This window comes from Homo sapiens, chromosome 2, assembly GCF_000001405.40.
Source record: "Homo sapiens chromosome 2, GRCh38.p14 Primary Assembly".
NCBI classification, from domain to species: Eukaryota; Metazoa; Chordata; class Mammalia; order Primates; family Hominidae; genus Homo; species Homo sapiens.
Window position 1 is genome coordinate 75,258,155 of NC_000002.12, and position 19,570 is coordinate 75,277,724.

At 38.3% G+C, this 19,570-nt stretch overlaps 2 long non-coding RNA genes across 4 annotated transcripts in view; one reads left to right on the forward strand and one right to left on the reverse strand.

Moving 5' to 3' along the window:
* TACR1-AS1 (TACR1 antisense RNA 1) overlaps positions 1–19,570 on the forward strand; it is a 125,490-nt gene that overhangs the window by 103,837 nt on the left and 2,083 nt on the right. For both annotated transcript variants that reach the window (NR_168009.1, NR_168010.1), the window contains exon 3: positions 18,356–18,445. This is a non-coding gene — a long non-coding RNA (TACR1 antisense RNA 1). The remainder of the gene's footprint in view (positions 1–18,355; positions 18,446–19,570) is intronic.
* The window catches only part of LOC107985900 (uncharacterized), an 85,220-nt gene that overhangs the window by 34,673 nt on the left and 30,977 nt on the right, over positions 1–19,570 (reverse strand). The window contains exon 2 of one of the 2 annotated variants that reach the window (XR_001739545.2): positions 14,585–16,983. The exons of the other annotated variant lie outside the window; for it this stretch is intronic. This is a non-coding gene — a long non-coding RNA (uncharacterized LOC107985900). Of the gene's footprint in view, positions 1–14,584; positions 16,984–19,570 lie in introns of those variants that run through there. 2 annotated transcript variants of the gene reach the window in all.

Genomic DNA, 19,570 nt, shown 5'->3' on the forward strand with positions numbered 1-19,570 from the left:
CTCTCTTAACAAAATTAAGTATTCCGGAGCATCATGAACATAGAATGTCTTTTTATCTCAGGTCTTCTTTAATGTTTTTCAATAATGTTTTATAGTTTTCAGAGTATTAAACTTATTCCTAAGTATTATTGTAAATGGAATTGCTTTCTTACTTTAATTTTTGGATTATCATTGCTAGTATATTGAACTATACTTGATTTTTGTATTTATATCTTGTATCTTGCAAGTTTGCATATGAAAGGCTAGGGTGGGAGGGCCAGTTTGCTCTTGTGGATTTGCATTATCATCTGGTTTAATTGATTCCTCTCACCTCCTTTGTGCTTATTGTTAAATAGATTACATTTATATGCATTACTAGAACAACAATATAATTATATATGTATTGTTTGATACAAGTGCTTTTAAAATCAGTTAGGAGAAGAAATATGTGATTATATTATCTTTTATAATTACCTACAAAACTTCCATTACTGGGATTCTGTGTTTCTTCTTGTATATAATTACCATCTGGCTTCACTTGCTTTCAGTCTGAAGAACTTTTAACACCCTTTACAAGGTGGGTCTGACAGCAACAAATTATCTCCATTTTCATTTATCTGTGCTTGCTCTTATTTCACCTTCATTTCTCAAAGATATGTTTGCTAGATATAGGATTCTCTGTTGACAGAGTTTTTTTTTTTTTTTTCCTTTCAGCACTCCAAATATGTCATACAACTGGCCTCCATTGTTTCTGATGAGAAGTCAGTTTCTTTTATATAAGACAAGACATTTTTCTGTTGGTGTTTTTAAGATTTTCTCTTTGTTTTTGGCTTTTTCACTCTGATATGTCTGAGTGTGGATCTCTTTGTATTTATTCCATTTGGGTGTTTTGTATGTGTAGATTAATTTTTTTAAAATCCTGATTTCATCAGTTTGAGAAGTTTTCAGCCATTATTTCTTTGAATATTCTTTTGAAGAAAGAATCTTTCTTTCTTTTTTCTCTCCTCTCCTCTGGAACTACCATTATGCATGTGTTCAGGTGCTTAATGATGTCCCACATTTCTCTGAGACTCCATTCAATTTTCTTTCATTCTTTTTGTTCTTCTAATTGAATAATCTCCCCTAATGTATCTTAAAATTTGCTCATTCTTTCTTCTGCCAACTCAAATCCTCTGTTGAGCCCTCTCATGAATTTTTTGCTTTGGTTATTGTATGTTTAATTCCAAAATTTCTATTTTTTAAATAATTTATATCTACTTGTTGATATTCTCTATTTGATGAGACATCTTCATCTTCCTTCTTTTACTTCTTTAAGTATGATTTCCTTTAGTCCATTTAATATATTTATAATATCTGCTTGGAAGTCTGTCTTATAATTCCAACATCTGGGCCCTCTCAAAGGCAGTTTCTTCTGCCTATTTTCTCCTGTGTATGTGTCAGGCTTCCTTGTTTCTTTGCATTTTTCATAACTTTTTGTTAAAAAATGGAAATTTAGATAATATATTGTAGCAATTCTGAATACTGATTTACTCCTGCCTCTCCCTCTTCCACACACGCAGTGGCTTGGTGGTGTTGTTTGCTGGCTTCTTTGTTCAGTGATTTAGCTGAGCTATTTCAGCCTATTTCTTTTCTTTGTATGTAGCCTTTGATGCCATTTCTCAGAAAGTGCAGGGTTGGATAAGCACACAGTCTCCCTGGAGTAACAATGGTTTTAACATGGTTCTCTTTGACAGTTTCTTTTCCTGATTTTTTGGTTAAGCTGCCTGTCTATTGCTATCACACCTGCTGATAGCCTCCACTAACTGCTGGCTGACTGCTCTATTGTTTTCAGTAATGCTATGGAGTACAAATGTCACAACATTCCCATCTAAATTTAGGCCTCTTTGGAACAGTAGTTATTGAAGACAAATCTTTGAGGCTTGTTTTAACTCTAGCTATTGCTTTCCTTGGTTCTCTCTATTAAATGTATAGCTGCCCTACAATTGAGTGTGTTGCTCTCATTGCTTTTAACAGCAACAGTGGGCTTGAAATTCCACACTCTGTTCCAAATAAATTAAGTTCCCTTGAGGGGAGCTTGAAGCTTGGGACCTGGCCTTACCCCTGGACAAAACATCTGCACCATTATTCCAGAGCTGGGGGTGGGTACAGTGACTAATTTCTTTTGGAGTAACACCCCTGCTTTATGAGTGGGCCACTAGGTGGGTGCATTAGTCTCTGTTCTTCTTGGTTTGCCTCTCCTAGCATAAAACTTTCACCCTATGAGCAGGTTGCAGTGTGAGCAATTGGATTCAGTATGCTCATCCTGCTGCATGGTAGAGCTTCTACCATATGAATGGGTTCTATACTAAAGAAGGGAGCCCCATATCTCTCAGCTACCCTGGCCTGGAATTCAGCTTCTGCAACAGGGAATCTGGGAGTGGGTTTGAGGGTGGGGGTGGGGATGAGAAATGCCGATAGCCTGGTCCTCTTGGAATGATGCTATAGCCCTAAACTAGGAGTTGTGGAAAAGACAGCCCTGTGATTTTTTTTTCATTCACCCATAGTAGAGCTTCTATTATGCTGAGCTGGAGGACAGAGAAGGGAGCAGGTCATAGCTCAAATGCCACAGACTGTCACTCTTCTTACCGAGATATTCATTTTTTAAAAATGTTTCTCCATTTGTCATACTCTCTTAGGACAATTTCCAGAGACTTAAACATTTTAAGAATCATTTTCACCAGTTATGATTTGCAGGGGAGAGAGTCTGTAGAGCTCCTTACATTGCAATTCTGGTTTTAATAACTTGTTGTTAAAAAATCTTGAAATTGTTTTATATTTCAGATATTCACAAAAGTTATAGAAGAGGGGAAAATGCCAACAAAGGCAATCATAGAAGTAGCTAATAATAAGAAGAACTTGTGGAGCATTGCAGTCACAGAGTTTATATTGTATTTCTGAAAATATACAGCCTGATTTCATTAGCATTTCTCTGTTATTCAAGAAGCCTCAGGGTATCATAAGACCAGATTGTTATAATAACATCAACTAACATTTGTGTGGCACTTAACAATGTTAGTCTTTTCATTTACATAATCTTGTGGTTTGGTATAATACTAAACTTACTTAAGATGGAGTGCTAAAGGCTTTGTCATCTCTGCCTCAACTTTTTCTACCTTTGCTTTGCATACAGTATTGAAAAAGTGAATCTAAACTCTGTTAGAGAAGAAATGACTATGCCTTCATTCAATCATTTGTTTTCCCTTTATAAAGCATATGGCTTATTAATATTTATTAAGGTGAATAATGTGCACATTATATGTGAGTACATGTATGATTTATTCATTCTGTACTTTGTTTCAAAAAATATAAAGCACCTTTCAAAAATTTGTAGAGCAAGATAAAAAAATAAGAAATAAAAAGAGGCAAAGGGAAATGTCAGTGTAGAAAAATAAAATGACGTACCTGGGACTTGCCTGGCTTTAGCTCTGAAAATTCCACTTCTGGGGAAACTCCTTAGTCCCGGGCACACTGAGATGGTTGGTAATTCTAAATTACCAGTAAGCCATTATGGGGCTCTTTTAATATGCTGAACCATGTTCTAAGCACTTAACATCTACTATCTTCACTTGTCCTCACAATAACCCTTTGAAGTGTGCTACTACTACTGCAGCCATTTTACAAGAAAAAAATACTGAAGCACAAAAAGGCTAAGCAACCTGACTCAAATCAGACATCTAGTAAATTGGTAGAACTGGGTATCAAAGGACCACCAGCTCCAGAACTGAAGTTCTTTACCACAGCCGTAAAGTGCATGTGAGTTTCTATAGATGTTCCATACATTTGATTTTAAGATTCCTAGTAGCTAAAGTGAAGAGGAAAATATGATCAGCTACAAAATTCACATTGTCCCTAAAATATTTACTTAGGAGCATGATTATTCCTAATTCTATGAGCCTTCAAATATTTACAGAGTGCTTACTTTGGACAGGCACTGTTCTAGGTGCTGAAGATACAGCAGTGGAGAAAACACATGGAACCTCTGCCCATGTGGACCTGACATGCCAGGGAGATATGCATTAGAGGGAGATAGGTGTTGTAGACAGAATAAAGTAGGGTAAGGAGAATGGGAGCTTCTGGGGAGTGAGTAGGCTACAAATCTAAATAGAATGGTGAGGACAGATATCAATAAGAAAATGATACTTGAGCATAGCCTTGAATGGAGAAAGAGAGAGCCTTATGAGTATCTGGGGGCAAGAATGTTTTAGGTGGAAGAAACAGCAGGGACAAGGGCCCTACATTGGTGGGGGTCAGGGAGGATTGGTGTGTCTAGGGCACACCGCACAGAATAAGTCTAGAGAAAAACAGTAAAAGAGATGATCAGAGAGGGCACTGGGCCTTGAAATGCAGCACAGGAGATAGCATTGGGCGTCGTACAGACTGTGACATCTACTCTGAGTGAAATAGGGTTTTGACAGAGGAGTGCTATAACTTGGCTTGAATTTTAAAATGATCACTCTAGTTGCTGTGTTGAAATTGACTGTGGGAAGGAACAGGGATCAGGGAAATTAGGTAGGAGGCCACATCAATCATCTAGGTAAGAGATGACAGGGCATAGACAGGAAAAGTAGCAGTGGGGAAAATGGGAACATATTTTGTCAATATGGCTTTGGAGGTGAAGTCAGCAGAATTTGTTAGTGGATTGGATGTAGGGTGTGAGTGAAAGAGAGGAGACAAGGAAGACTTCAAGGTTAATTGAGATGAAGAAGCCTGAAGGGGGTTCAGGTTTGTGGACAAAGAGCAGAAATTTAGTTCTGAACAATTTGAGTTTGAGGTGTTTGTTAGACTCCAACTGGAGGTGTTCTATAAGCCATTAGAAATAAGATTCTGGAGATGGAAGAGAGGTTTGGGCTGGAAACAAAAATTTGAGATTCACCTGTTTATAAATTATATTTAATGCCATGAAACTCAATGAGATCACCAAGGAATTAATATAAATATAAAAGAGAAGTAGCCTGAGCCCTGGGGCTCTACAATATTAAGAATCAGGGAGAAGATGAGGAACCAAGAAAAAAGATAAAGAGGAGCCAGTGATGTAGAAGGACATCAAGCTAAGCATGGTGTTCTGTAGGCCAAGAGAAGGAAGAATTTCAAGGAGGAGAGAGTGATCAACTGTGTCAAATGCTACTGTTGGTCAAGTTAAGTAGGGGCTGAGAATTGACCACTGGAATTAGCAACACAGAGGTCACTGGTAATTTCCATAAGGGGCAGTTGAGAGGTCAACAATTTTAAGAGAGAATTCAGGATGAACTGGAGATAATGAAGTTGACTACAGGCTCAGCTTGTGTGCCAAACCTGGCCTGCCACCTGTTTTTGCAAATAAATTTTTAAAAAATACTTTTAACTTTTTTTGGGGGGGGGGTACATAGTAGGTGTACACATTTATGGGTTACATGAGATATTTTGATACAGGCATGCAATGCATAATAATTACAGCAGGGTAAATAGGGTATTCATCACCTCAAGCATTTATCCTTTGTATTACAAACAATCCAATTACACTCTTTCAGTTATTTTGAAAGATACAATTATTTTTGACTATGATCACCCTGTTGTGCTAGCAAAAACTGTCTTATTCATTCTTTTTTTTTTCGTACCCCTTAACCATCCCCACCTCCCCCTCATGCTCTACTACCCTTTTCAGCCTCTGGTAACCATCCTTCTACTTTCTATCTTCAGGGGTTCAATTGCTTTAATTTTTAGCCCCCACAAATAAGTGAGAACATGCAAAGTTTTCCTTTTTGTGCCTGGCTTATTTCACTTAACATATGACCTCTAGTTTTGTTCATGTTATTGCAAATGACAGGATCTCATTTGTTTTTTTTCATGGCTGAATAGTACTCCATTGTATATATTACTATATTTTAAAATTTTCTTTATGGGATCATGTGATCCCACTTTCTTTATTAATTCATCTGCTGATGGACACTTAGATTACTTTCAAATCTTGGCTACTGTGAATAGTACTGGAATAAACATGGAAGTGCAGATATCTTTTCTGTAAACTGATTTTTTTTCCTTTTGGGTATATACCTAGGAGTGGGATTTCTGGATCACATGGTAGCTCAATTTTTAGTTTCTTGAGGAACCTCCAAACTGTTCTCCCTAGTAGTTGTACTAATTTACATTCCCACCAACAGTATACAAGGGTTCTCCTTTCTCCCCATCCTCACCAGCACCTATCTAACTTTTGGATAAAAGCCATTTTAACTAGGGTGAGATAATATCTCATTGTAGTTCTGATTGGCATTTCTCTGATGATCAGTGATGATGAGCACCTTTTCATACGCCTGTCTGCCATGTGTATGTTTTCCTTTGAGAAAGGTCTGTTTAGAACTTTTGCCCATCTTTTGATCAGATTATTAGATTTTTTTTTCAACAGAGTTGTTTGAGCTACTTATATATTCTGGTTATTAATCTCTTATCAGATAGGAGGTTTGCAAATATTTTCTCCCATTCTGTGGGTTGTCTCTTCACATTGTTGTTTGTTTCCTTTGCTGTACAGAAGTTTTTTAACTTGATGTGATCCCATTTGTCCATTTTTGCTTTGGTTTCCTGTGCTCAAAAAATATTTTCCCAGACTAATGTCCTTGGGAGTTTTACCATTGCTTTCTTTTAGTGGTTTCACAGTTTGAGGTCTTTGATTAAGTCTTTAATCCATTTTGATTTGATTTCTGCATATGGCAAGATAGAATGCAGCTATAGTCTAGTTTCATTCTTTTGCATATGGATACCCAGTTTTCCCAGCACCGTTTATTGAAGAGACCGCCCTTTCCCCAGTGTATGTTCTTGTCACCTTTGACAAAAATAAGTTCATTGTAGATGTGTAGATTTATCTCTGGGATTTTAATTCTGTTCCACTGATCTATATGTCTGTTTTTATGCCAGCACCCTGTTATTTGGTTACTATAGTTCTGTAGTATAATTTAAAGTCAGGTAATATAGTTCCTTCACTTTTGTTCTTTGGCTTTTTTGGGTCCTTTCTGGTTCCATATACATTTTAGTATTGTTTTCAGTACTTTAAGTATGTCATTCTACTCTCTACCGGCCTTCAAAGTTTCTACTGAAAAGTCTGCTACCTGATGTATTGGAGCGCCATTGAATGTTGTTTGTTTCTTTTCTCTTGCTGCTTTTAGGATGCTTCCTGTATCCTTGACCTTTTTGGAGTTTGATAATTAAATACCTTGAGGTAGTCTTCTTTGGGTTACATCTTCTTGGCGTTCTATAACCTTCTTGTAGTTGGATATTTATGTCTTTCTCTAGATTGGGAGGTTCTCTGTTATCATCTCTTTGAATAAACTTTCTACCCCTATCTCTTTATCTACCTCCTCTTTAAGGCCAATAACTCTTAGATTTGCCCTCTTGAGGCTATTCTTTAAATCCTGTAGGTATGCTTCATTGTTTTTTATTCTTTTTTTTGTCTCCTCTGACTGTGTATTTTCAAATAGCCTGTATTCAAGCTCACTAAATTCTTTTTTCTGCTTGATCAGTTCTGCTATTAAAAGGCTCTGATGCATTCTTCAGTATGCCAATTGTGTTTTTAAACTCCAGAATTTCTGCTTGCTCCTTTATAATTATTTCAATTTCTTTGTTAAATGTATCTAAATTCCTTCTCTGTGTTATCTTGAATTTCTTTGAGTTTCCTCAGAACAGCAATTTTGAATTGTGTGTCTAAAAGGTCACATACCTCTGTTTCTCCAGGTTTTGTCCTTGGTGTTTTATTTAGTTTTTTGGTGAGGTCATGTTTTTTTGGATGGTGTTGATGCTTGTGGATGTTTGTGTATGTCTGCGCATCAAAAAGTTAGGGATTTATTATAGTCTTCACAGTCTGGGCTTATTTGTGCCTGTCCTTCTTAGGAAGGCTTTCCAGGTATTCCAAAGGACTTGGGTGTTGTGATCTAAGCTGTATCTATATTAGGGGGCACCCCAAGCCAGTGACACTCTGTTTCTTGCAGACTTATAGAGGTACCACCTTGATGGTCTTAGGTAAGATCCAGAAGAATTCTCTGGATTACCAGGCAGAGACTCTTGTTCTCTTCTTTTGCTTTCTCCCAAACGAATAGTCTGTCTCTCTCTCTCTCCCCACCTCCTCTTTCTGTTGTGAGCCACCTGGAGCTGGGAGTGTTGTGACACAAGCACCCCTGTGGCCACCACCACTATTACTGTGCTGGTCAGAAACCGGGACAGCATTGGGTCTCTTCCAATGCCTGCTGTTACCACTACCTGGCTACCACTACGTTTGCTCAAGCCCTTGGGCTCCATAATCGGCAGGTGGCAAAGCCAGCCAGGCTTGTATCCTTCCCTTCAGGATGACAAGTTCCCCCAGACTGTAGATAGCTCCAGAGGTGCCATCCAGGGGCCAGGGTCTGGAGTCAAACACTTTAACTGCTTGGTGTTCTATTGTACTGCAGCTGAGCTGGAACTGAAACCACATGTGAGATAGTCTTTCCCACTCTTCCTCCCCTTTCTATAGGAAGAGGAGTCAAACCTTGTGGCCATGACCACCACAGGCCCATGAGAAGTACTTCCAGTCTACTGGTGATGTTTACTTAAGGCCCAAGGGCTCTTCAGTTGGCTTGTGGTGAGTGCTGTCTGGCCTGGGACTCATCTGTTAGGACAGTAGGCTCCCCTCTGGCCCAGAGCAGGTCCAGAAATGCCATCCAAGAGACAAGTCCTGGAATTGGGGACCCCAAGGGCCCACTTGGTGCTCCATCCCTCTGCGGCTGAGCCTGTACCTAAGGTGCAAGACTAAGTCTGCTTTACTTTTCCCTCTGCTTTTCTCAAGCAGTAGGAGTCTCTCCCCATAGCTGGGGATGTGCTGAGTCTCACCTGAAGCCAGCAAGTCTCAGAGTCTCACCCAATGCCCATGGCATACTACCTGGTTATCACTACTAGTTATTCAGGGTCCAAGGCTCTTTAGTCAGCAGGTGATGAGTCTTGCCAGAATTGGTTCTGTCTCTTTAAGGCAGTGGGTTGCCTTCTGGCCCAGGATGGGAAATGTCTAGAAATGTCATCCAGGAGCTAGGGCTGGAAAGGAGATCTCATGACTCTGACTGGTGCTCTAATCTGTGGCTGAGTTGGTATCCAAGATGAAGACAAAGTCCCCTTTTTTGTTTTCTCTCCTTTCCTCAAGCCGTTGGAAGGAGTCATTTTTGGAGCCATGAGCTGTGCAGCCTGGGGTTTGGGGAGTGGTGGTACAAGCACTTCCTTAGACACCCAGCTAGTGTTTTAGTAGGTTGTGTGCTCCCCAAGTTCACTGGCTCTGAGCATAATTCAGCAGTGGGACTTGCCTAGGAGCTGCAGTCCTTGTGTCTTTAACTGCCTTTTAAGTTTATTCAGAACCCAGAGCTCTTTATCCCACAGTGGTGAGGCTTGCCAGAACTCAGGTTCTGACCACTTGGATGGGTGCCTCCCTCTCGCTAGGGCTGGTTTAAATATTTTATCAGTGGGTGGGCATCAGTTAAGTTCATCCTGGTTTTGTTTTTTGCTGTGACAGGACAGCACTGAGTTCAATACAATGTCTCACCCTCCTTTTCCCAAGCACACGGATTTTCTCTCCACTCCATGCAGCCACTGCTGGGTGTTGAGGGAGGGGTGGCATCAGTGATTCAAGACTGTCTTTCCTACCATCTTCAATGCTTCTTTCAGTGATATGAAGTTAAAACCAGGTACTGTGAGTGCTCACCTAATTTTGAGTTCTTATGAAGGTGTTTGTTTTGTGTAGATAGTTTTTTGTTTGTTTTTAAGACAGGGTCTTGCTCTGTTGCTCAGTCTGGAGTGCAATGGTTCAATTATAGCTCAGTGCAGCCTCAACCTCTCAGGCTCAATAGATCCTCCCACCTCAGCCTCCTGAGTAGCTGGGAGCTGTGACTACAGATGCACATCACTCACCTAGCTAATTTTTTGATTTTTTGTAGAGATGGGATCTCACCATGTCACCCAGGCTGGTGTCAAGCTTCTGGGCTCAAGCAATTCTCCCGCCTTGCCTCCCTAAGTGCTGGGTTTACAGATGTGAGCCACCATGCTTGGCTTATGTAAATAGTTATTAAATTCCGTGTTCCTTCAGGGAGGAAATTCGGTAAAGCCTTCTACTCAGCCGTCTTGCTCTGCTCCCACAAATAAAGTTTTGTTGGAACACAGCCAGGCCTATTTGCTTGTGTACTTTCTGTGGTTACTTTTTCATTACAATGGCAGGGCTGATTAGATGTGACAGAATGTACTGTCCTGCAGAGCCTAAAATACTCTCTGATTCTTTACAGAAAAAACTCATGATACAGACAACAATCTTGAGTTACATTTTTTTTTTTTTAAAAAAAAACATATATTGAGCTGTATTAGGGAGGGAAAATAGAGTTAGACACATTTTCCTCCTAACTAAAGAAAGACTACCATGTACTGAAATAGACCTTCAGCTACATCCATATAGGAAACACAGCACTGAGTTTTAAATGGCTGTTTCTTATAAGATTTCTCCATATTGGCCAAAGGCATCACTTCAAAACACTGTTAATAGAAGTATTTTAGAAATGTATGCTACAAATCAGGGATCTAGCATGTATAGATGCCCTTTTTAACATAGGGATAAAGTTTATGTATCTGTGAAGGAATGTCCTCTATACCATTCAGGCCATCCATCCATTTTTTTCTTTTTAAATTGATGCTTAATAATTGTACATATTTATGGAGTACCTGTGATAATTAATACCCGCATAGAATATGATTAAATCAGAATAATTAATGGTAATCACCTAAAGCATTTGTCATCTCTTTGTACTTGAAACATTTTACATCTTCTCTTCTAACTATTGTAAAATATACAGTAAATTATTTTTAACTATAGTCACCCTAGTGCTTTCAAACACTAGAACTTATTCCCTCTATTTTGTACCCATTAACCAAACTGTCATCATTCCTTGCTTCCCTCTACTCTTCCTAGCCTCTGGTAACCATCATTCTACTCTCTACATCCATGAGATCAACTTTTTTAGCTCCCCCATATAAGTAAGAACATAAAACATGCAATATTTGCCTTTCTGAGATTGGCTTATTTCACTTAACATAATGTCCTCTAATTTCATTCATGTTGCTGCAAATGACAGAATTTCATTATTTTTTATGGCTGAATAATATTCCATTTTGTGTGTGTGTATGTATATCACTTTTCTTTATCCATTCATCTATTGGTGGTCACTTAGATTGATTCCATATCTTTGCTATTGTGAATAGCACTGCAATAGACATGGAAATGCAAATGTCTCTTCAATGTACTGATTTTCTTTCTTTTGGATATATTCCCAATAGTGGGATTATTGGATCATATGACAGATCTATTTTTAGTTTGTTCAAGAGCCTCTGTATTAGTCAGGGTTCTCTAGAGGAATAGAACTAATAGGATAGCTGTATATATAAAGGGGAGTTTATTAAGGAGTATTGACTCACATGATCACAAGGTATGGCCCCACAGTAGGCCATCTGCAAGCTGAGGAGCAAGGAAGCCTGTCCGAGTCCCAAAACCTCAAAAGTAGGGAAGCCAACAGTGCAGCCTTCAGTCTGTGGTCAAAAGTCCAAGAGTCCCAAAATTGAAGAACTTGGATTCCAATGTTTGAGGGCAGGAAGCATCCAGCATGGGAGAAAGATGTAGGATGGAAGACTAAGTCAGTCTAGTCTTTCCACTTGCTTCTGCCTGCTTTTATTCTGGATGCACTGATAGCTGATTACATTGTGCCCACCCAGATTGAGGGTGGATCTGCCTTTCCCAGTCCACTGACTTAAATATTAATCTCCTTTGGCAACACCCTCACAGGCACAGCCAGGAGCAATACTTTGCATCCTTCAATCCAATCAAGTTGACACTCATATTAACCATCACAGCCTCCATGCTGCTTTTCATAGTGGCTGTACTAATTTACATTTCCAGAAACAGTGTACTAGCATTCCCCTTTATCTACATCCTCACCACCATCTGTTACTTTTTGTCTTTTTGATAATAGCCATTTTAACTGGGGTGAGTTAATATCTTATTGTGATTTTCATTTGCATTTCCCTGATAATTAGTGATGGTAAGCATTTTTACATATACTTCTTGGCCATTTGTATGTCTTCTTTTGAGAAATGTCTATTCAGATCTTTAGCCCATTTTTAATGAGATTATTTTGGTTTTGGCATTGAGTTATTTGAGTTTCTTGTGTATTCCGGTTATTAATCCCTTGTCACATGGATAGTTTTCAAATATTTTCTTCCATCTTGTGTGTTGTTTCTTTACTCTGTTTATTGTTTCCTTTGCTATGCATAAGCTTTTTAGCTTGCTGTAATCTCATTTGTCTAGTTTTGCTTTGGTTGCCTATGTTTTTGAGGTCTTACACCTGAAATATTTGCCCAGACCATGTCCTGAAGTATTGTGCCAATGTTTTTTTTCCAGTAGTTTCATAGCTTTGAGTCTTAAATTTGAGTCTTTAATCCATTTTGATTTAATTTTTGAATATGGTGAGAGATAGGGGTCTAATTTCATTCTTCTGCTTATGGATATCCAGTTTTCCAAGCATCATTTATTGAACAGACTGAATTTTCCCCAGTATATGTTCTTGGTGCCTTCGCTGAAAATAAATTGGCTGTAAATGTGCAGATTTATTTATGTGTTTTCTATTCTATTCCATTGGTCTTTGTGTCTGTATTTATACCAATACCTTGATGTTCTGGTTAATATAGCTTAGCAGTATGTTTTGAAGCCAGGTATCGTGATGCCTTTATCTTTGTTCTTTTTGCTGAAGATTGTTTTGGTTATTTGGGTTCTTTTGTGGTTCCACATGAATTTAGAATTTCTTTTCTATTTCTGTGAAGAACGTCATTAGTATTTTGATAGGTAATGCATTGGGTAGTATGGGCATCTGACAAAATTAATTCCTCCTGTGCTTAAGCATGAGCTATCTTTTAATTTGTGTCTTTTTCAATTGTCATCAGTGTTATATAGGTTTCATTGTAGGATTCTTTAATTTCTTTGGTTAAATTTATTCCTAGGTTTTTTCTTGTAGCTATTGTAAATGGGGTTGTTTTCTTTATTTTCATTCTGGTTGTTTGCTGTTGGTTTATAGAAATGCTACTGAGTTTTGTATGGTGATTTTGTAAACTGAAACATTACTGAATTCATTTATTGGTTCTAATAATTTTTTTTGGTGGGGTCCTTAAGCTCTTAATTTATTTTATTTTGTAGTTTTGAACCAGAATCTCACTCTGTCACTCAGGCTGGAGAGCACTTGTGCAATCTCAGCTCACTGCAAACTTCACCTCCTGGGTTCAAGAAATTCTCCTGCCTCAGCCTCCCCAGTAGCTGCAACTATAGGCATGTGCCACCATGCCTGCCTATGGTTTTTTTTTTTTTTTTTTTTTTTGTATTTTTAGTAGAGATAGGATTTCTCCATGTCAGCCAGGCTAGTCTCGGACTTCTAGCCTCAACTGATCTGCCTGCCTCGGTCTTCCAAAGTGCTGGGATTACAGGTGTGGGCCACTGCATCAGGCCTCCTTAGGCTTTTCTAAATATAGGATCATGCTGTCTTCCAACAAAGATAATTTGACTTCTTTCTTTCCAATTTGGATGCCTTTTATTCCTTACTTAGCCTAACTGCCCTGGCTAGGACTTCCAGTACTATGTTGAATAAAAGTGGTAGAAGTGGACATTGTTGTCCAGTTTCACATCTTAGAGAAAACACTTTCATTTTTACCCCATTGAGTATAATACTAGCTGTGGGTTTTGTCATATATTTTGTGTTGGTGGTATGCTCCTTCTGTTCCCAGTTTGTTGAGAGTTTTTATCATGAAGGGATATTGGATTTTATCAAAGGCTTTTTCAGCATCTATTGAAATTATCATGTGGTTTTTGTTCTTGATTCTGTTAATGCGATGTATCACATTTATTGATCTGCATATGTTGAACTACCCTTTCATCCTTGGGATAAATCTCATCTGATCATGATTAATAATTGTTTCAGTATGTTGTTGAGTTAGGTTTGGTAGTATTTTGTTGATGATTTTACATCTATGTTCATCAGTCATATTGGCCTGTAGTTTTGTTTTTTATTATGTCCTTCTCTGGTTTTGATATCAGGGTAATGCTGGCCTTATAGAATGAATATGAAAGTATTCCGTCCTCTTCAATTTTTAAAAGACTTTGAGTAAAATTGGCATTAGTTCTTTAAACATTCGGTAGAATTCAGCAGTGAAGTCATAAGGTCTTAAGCTTTTCTCTGATGGGAGACTTTTTATTACTGCTTCAATCTTATTACTTGCTATGTGGTCGGTTAAGGTATTCTATTTCTTCATGGTTCAATGTTGGTAAGTTGTGTGTGTCCAGGCATTTATCCATTTCTTTTATATTTTTCAATTTGTTGGTGTATAGTTGTTTATAATAGTCTCTAATTATGCTTTGTGTGTCTGTGGTATCAGTTATAAAGTCTTCTTTTTTGTCTCTGCTTTTATTTGTGGCTTCTTTTTTCTCAGTCTAAATAAAAATTTATCAACTTTATTAAAAAAAAACCCAAATTTTTGTTTTGTTGATCTTTTATATGGTTTTTCTTTAGTCACAATTTTGTTTATTTATGCTCTGATCTTTATTATTTCTTTTCCTGTGCTAATTTGAGGCTTGGTTTGTTCTTACTTTTCTAGTTTCTTGAGGTACATCATTAGGGTGTTTGTTTACTTAAAGTCTTTCTACTTTTTTGAGGCAGGCATTTATTGCGACACGGATTCCATTTAGAACTGATTTTCCTCTATCCCACAGGCTTTGGTATATTGTATTTCCATTTTTATTTGTCTCAGGAATTTCATATTTTCTTTTAAATTTCTTCTTTGATCCATTCTCTGTTCAGAAGCATGTTGTTTAGTTTTCATGAATTTGTACAGTTCCCAATATCCTTTCTGTTTTTGATTTCTGATTTTATTTCATTATGGTCAGAAAAGATACTTGATATCATTTCAATTTTTAAAAATTTGCTAAGATTGTTTTGTGACTTGCCGTATGATGTATCCTGGAGAATGTTCCATGTGCTGTTGAGAAAAATGTGTATTCTGTAGATGTTGGATGCAGTGTATGTAAATTTCTGTTAGGTCCAGTTGGGTCTAGAGTGTAGAGTTTAACTTCAATGTTTCGTTGCTGATTCTCTTTCTGGATGATCTGTTCGTTGTTGAAAGTGGGGTGTTGAAGTCCTCTACTATTACTGAAAGCTGTATTTGGGCTCTGTTGAATGTGATATGTTTGTTTTCTCTTGCAGCTTTGAGTATTATTTCTTTGTCTTTGATTTTTGCTAATTTGATTATGATGTGCCTTCAGGAACTACTTCATTGAATGGAATTTGATCAGTGATATCTAAGCTTCCTATAGCCGGATGCTGTTGTCTTTCTCCAGGTTTAGGAAATTCTCAGCCATTATTTCTTTAAATATGCTTTCTAATATGCCATTTTTTCTCTCATCTCCTTCAGGAATTCCTATTATGCAGAGATAATTCTCATAGGCCTTCTTCACTTTTTAATTTTTTTTCTTTTTGTTTCTCTGATTGGGTAATTTCATATATTCTGACTTCAAGTTTTCAAATACTTTTCTCTGTTTGATCAAGTCTGCTGTTGAAACTTTCTAATGAGTTTTTCAGTTCAGTGTTTCAATTGGTTTTCCATGCATATTTTTTTTTGTTTTTCAGAACATCTTTAAGAGGATTATTCTGAATTCTCCATCAGACATTTCATAGATCTGTAATTCTTTTGGATCCATTGCTAGTGCTTTGTGGGGCTTTTTTTTTGTGTGTTGTTATATTTCCCTGAGCTTTTACAATCCTTGTATCTTTACATTGATGCCTGCATATTTGAGGAAGCAGCCACCTCTTCTGGTTTTTGTAGATGTTCTTTGGTGATGCTAGAGCTTTACTACTTAGCATCAGAATTTAAATGTTAGTTTGTTGTTGCTTCTTATTCTGGGGATAATGTATAGTGAGCACCAGAACTAAAATGCTGCATTGAAACTAACTCATTGCCCTGCTGTTGTTTCCCAATCTGGGGAAAACTTACAGTGGGCACTGAAACTTAAATGCTGCCCTATAACTAAATCACTGCCCTGCCATTGTTTCCCACTCTGGGGAAGGCTTAAGCACATACTGGAACTTAATCCCGATCTTTTAGTTTTTTCAGGTCAAAGGAAGGCTCCTTGCAGACACCTGAGCTTTGTAGAAAATCTGGCCAGGCAGCTGGGCCTTCCCATGGATTGTGTCTCCTGCAGTACTATGGTGATGGCCAGCCTCTTCAGTGTGGTGTGTCCACTGGTGGATGTGCAGAGTAATTACCAAGATCTGCATGCCAGTTGCTGCAGTCAGTGCCCCACTCTTTGTCCCAAGTAGTTTGGTTCTTTCCTGGCTCCCCCAGTGTTTCCTGTGGTATCAGAATGGAGTAGTCTTCCTGTGAAGATTCCCAGATTAGTGGGGAGATTGAAAGTCTACCTGCAGCTCCCTACTCTCACCTCAGAAACTGGGTCTGGGGAAATTCTGTCGGTGGCATTATGCTGACTTGGGGTAGGGGTGGCGCAGTCTGAAATGACCATTTCTCCTATTTGTTGCAGCTTCTCTCAGTTCTGTGGGCCCAGGGGGCTCCTCCACTTCTCCCCCAAGTTTGGATGAATTCAGGGTGGTATGTTTGTCTTTGAACAGTTTCCAGTTGTATTTTTGTGAGGGGAGTGATATGGGGGAATTTTCTGTTCTGCCATCTTGCTGATGTCACGCTCAGTTTTTCCTTCCATTGATTTTCCCATTTCTCCTTTTTCCTTTAGATAAGATTTTGAAGGATGAACAATAGTTGTTTTGTTTACTTGGCAAGTATCAGGAGTGTAGCTAGTATGTGTGGCAAATATGGAGTACAGTCATATCAACTAAACTGTGATAGAACTACGGTCCATTTAAAAGAACATGATATGGTTTCCAGTCTCAAGTAGTTTGCCATCTGGGGATAGAGATAAGACAGGTACATGCATTTATAACAGTATGAGGCAGAATGTGATAATAACAAAAGTAGCTAAGGTTTCTTAAGTAACAAGACTGAACTATTGCTCTTTCCTGTCCATAACCATAACCTTCCTTGTTCTAGTAGATGGCAACTCCACCTTTTCAGTTGCTCAGGCTTAATGCCTTGACTCTTTCTTTTGCATTCCATATCCAATTTCTCAGAGCATTTAATTAGGTTTGCCTTTAAAGCACATCTCAAATTTGACCCCTTCTCACCAACTCCAAGGCTATCCTCCTTTTCTTCTCCCTACTCCCACCCCCAAATTCCAACCTGAGCTTCTATCATCCATCACCTAAGGTACAACAGTAGCAACAGGTCTCCTTGATTTTGCTTTTCTCCCCTATGAACTATTTTCAACAGAGAGCCAGACTGAGTCCCTTAAAATGTAAGTCAGATCATGCCACTCCTTTGCCCAAAGTCCTGCAGTCTTTCTACATGTCACTCAGAGTGAAAACTAAAGCTCTTAGAGTGGTTTTCAGGGCCGCAAATGATTGAAACCTATTATCACTTTGACTTCATCTTCTGCAACTCTTTCCTGGCTCCTTCTAATCCTCTGGCCCCTCACACTTGGGCTTGGCTCAAGCTTGAAATGCTCTTCCACTGGTTACCTGCTCAGCTCACTCCCTTACCTCCTTTGAGTTTTTGCTCCAATTCCACCTCAATAAGATTTTTCTCTTCTATTCGATACTGCAACTTTTCCCACACTTCACTCACCTCTCCCATCCCTCTCACCCTGCGTTACTTTTCCTTTTGTTTCATATCACTTATCATTGTGGAACATACTCAGAAATTTACCCATTCAGCTGATTTATCGTTGCTTGTCTGTCTCCCTTGCTAGAATGTAAGACCTATGTCATTCTTGATTTGTTTTGTTAAATTCCTACAACAGTGTCTGGTACATAATATGTTCAATAAATATTTGTTGAGTAAAAAATGGGCACTATTAGCAGAAACTGGACTACTACGTTACATGAATTACTGATTTGAATTTTCTCAAAACAATAAAGTATTATGCATTATCAGCTTCATTTTATTGATGAGAAAGCAGACACGTAGACAGGTTAAGCAATTTTCCCAAGGTCACACAGCTAGTGCATGGTGGAGCTGGAATTTGAACCCAGTAAAATAGGATGAGAGACTTACTGATGAGATGTTACTCATTACACTTGGACAAGTACAAATGATTTGCTTGGCGCCAAAGCCAAACAAGAAGTGGGTTAATTGTAAAAGTATCCAGGACTCTTATTTAACCTAAGGAATACTAAACCTCCATTGCAGTAAACTGAAAAAATATACATTGATTTTGCAGAGCCAGACCTTGATTTCATGCGAGAAGGTGGAGTAGGAGGAAGAGAAGGAGGAGAGTTAGAAGGAGTAGGAGGAGGAGGAAAACCTCCTGGTGAGTGCATTCAATTTCTGTCAAGTATTTTTGTGACTCAGCATGCAGTCAATAGTCAGCTAAGATTCAGAAGTCTCCTTGCCAATAGGGCTGTCGGCATTGTGAGGACAGTTGAAAGGGAGGGAAGCCTGTCGGATAATCAGATGAACCTGTTTGGGGCATAAACTCCTAAACTGTGGTGTGCTGCTTGTGGTTAACATTTATTTCTCAGGGAATAGTTAATAGCCCGTTGTGCTTTGCTTCAATAAATAATGGAAAGAAAGAAAGGCAGGGACAAAAACCCGGGGCTGGATTTAGAGAGTTCTAAACCTTTGGTTTGACAGAGCATATTTTTTACACTTTTTATTCTAGACCAGGTAAGCTTTTACAACTATAAAGCAAGATGCTTACATCAGATGCCAAATTGTCCCACCTGATTCTTTATGCCAGCATCTGCAGATGCATTTAAAAAAGCTTCATTTGATTATGCAGCTTCTTCACAGCCCAAAAGCCAAGCAAGCTGTGGGCTAGTTGTAAAGGTGTCCATGAGCTTTGCTTTATCTAAGGAATACTAAACCTCCAGTGCAATAAACTGAAAAAAAAAAAAAGTTGGTTCTACAGAGCCAGACCTTGATTTCATGGGGGAATAATAATAAGGAGAAGAAGAAGGAAAACTTCCTGGTGAGTGCATCCTACTTCTGTCAAGTATTTTTATGATTCAACATGTAGTCAGTCAGCTAAGAGTCAGAAGTCTCATTCAGCTGAAATTCCAAAACTGAATAATGCATAGTATAGTGTCATTTACTGGAAAAGAGAGGCTTGTTTATTTCCTGAGTTTTACACTCTTTAATGTACTGCCCCAGAAGTTTTCTTTTTTGGAAACCACAATAGAACACTAAAGAAGTGTAATTCAGAAATGTGGCAGATAATTTGCCATTCTATTTTCTAGAACATCAGCTCTTTTTCAGCTAGTAAAAATGGCTTACTAAGTAAATCAGTTTTGGCTCCAAAAATTATTCAGAGGAATCCAGTTTTCTTCCTCCCTCACTAAATAAACAATGAGAAAGATAGATAAAATATCAGTTTGGAGAAACATCAAATGATTAGCTTACATAGGCTACCTTTGCATTTCAGCTGTCCCTGGGT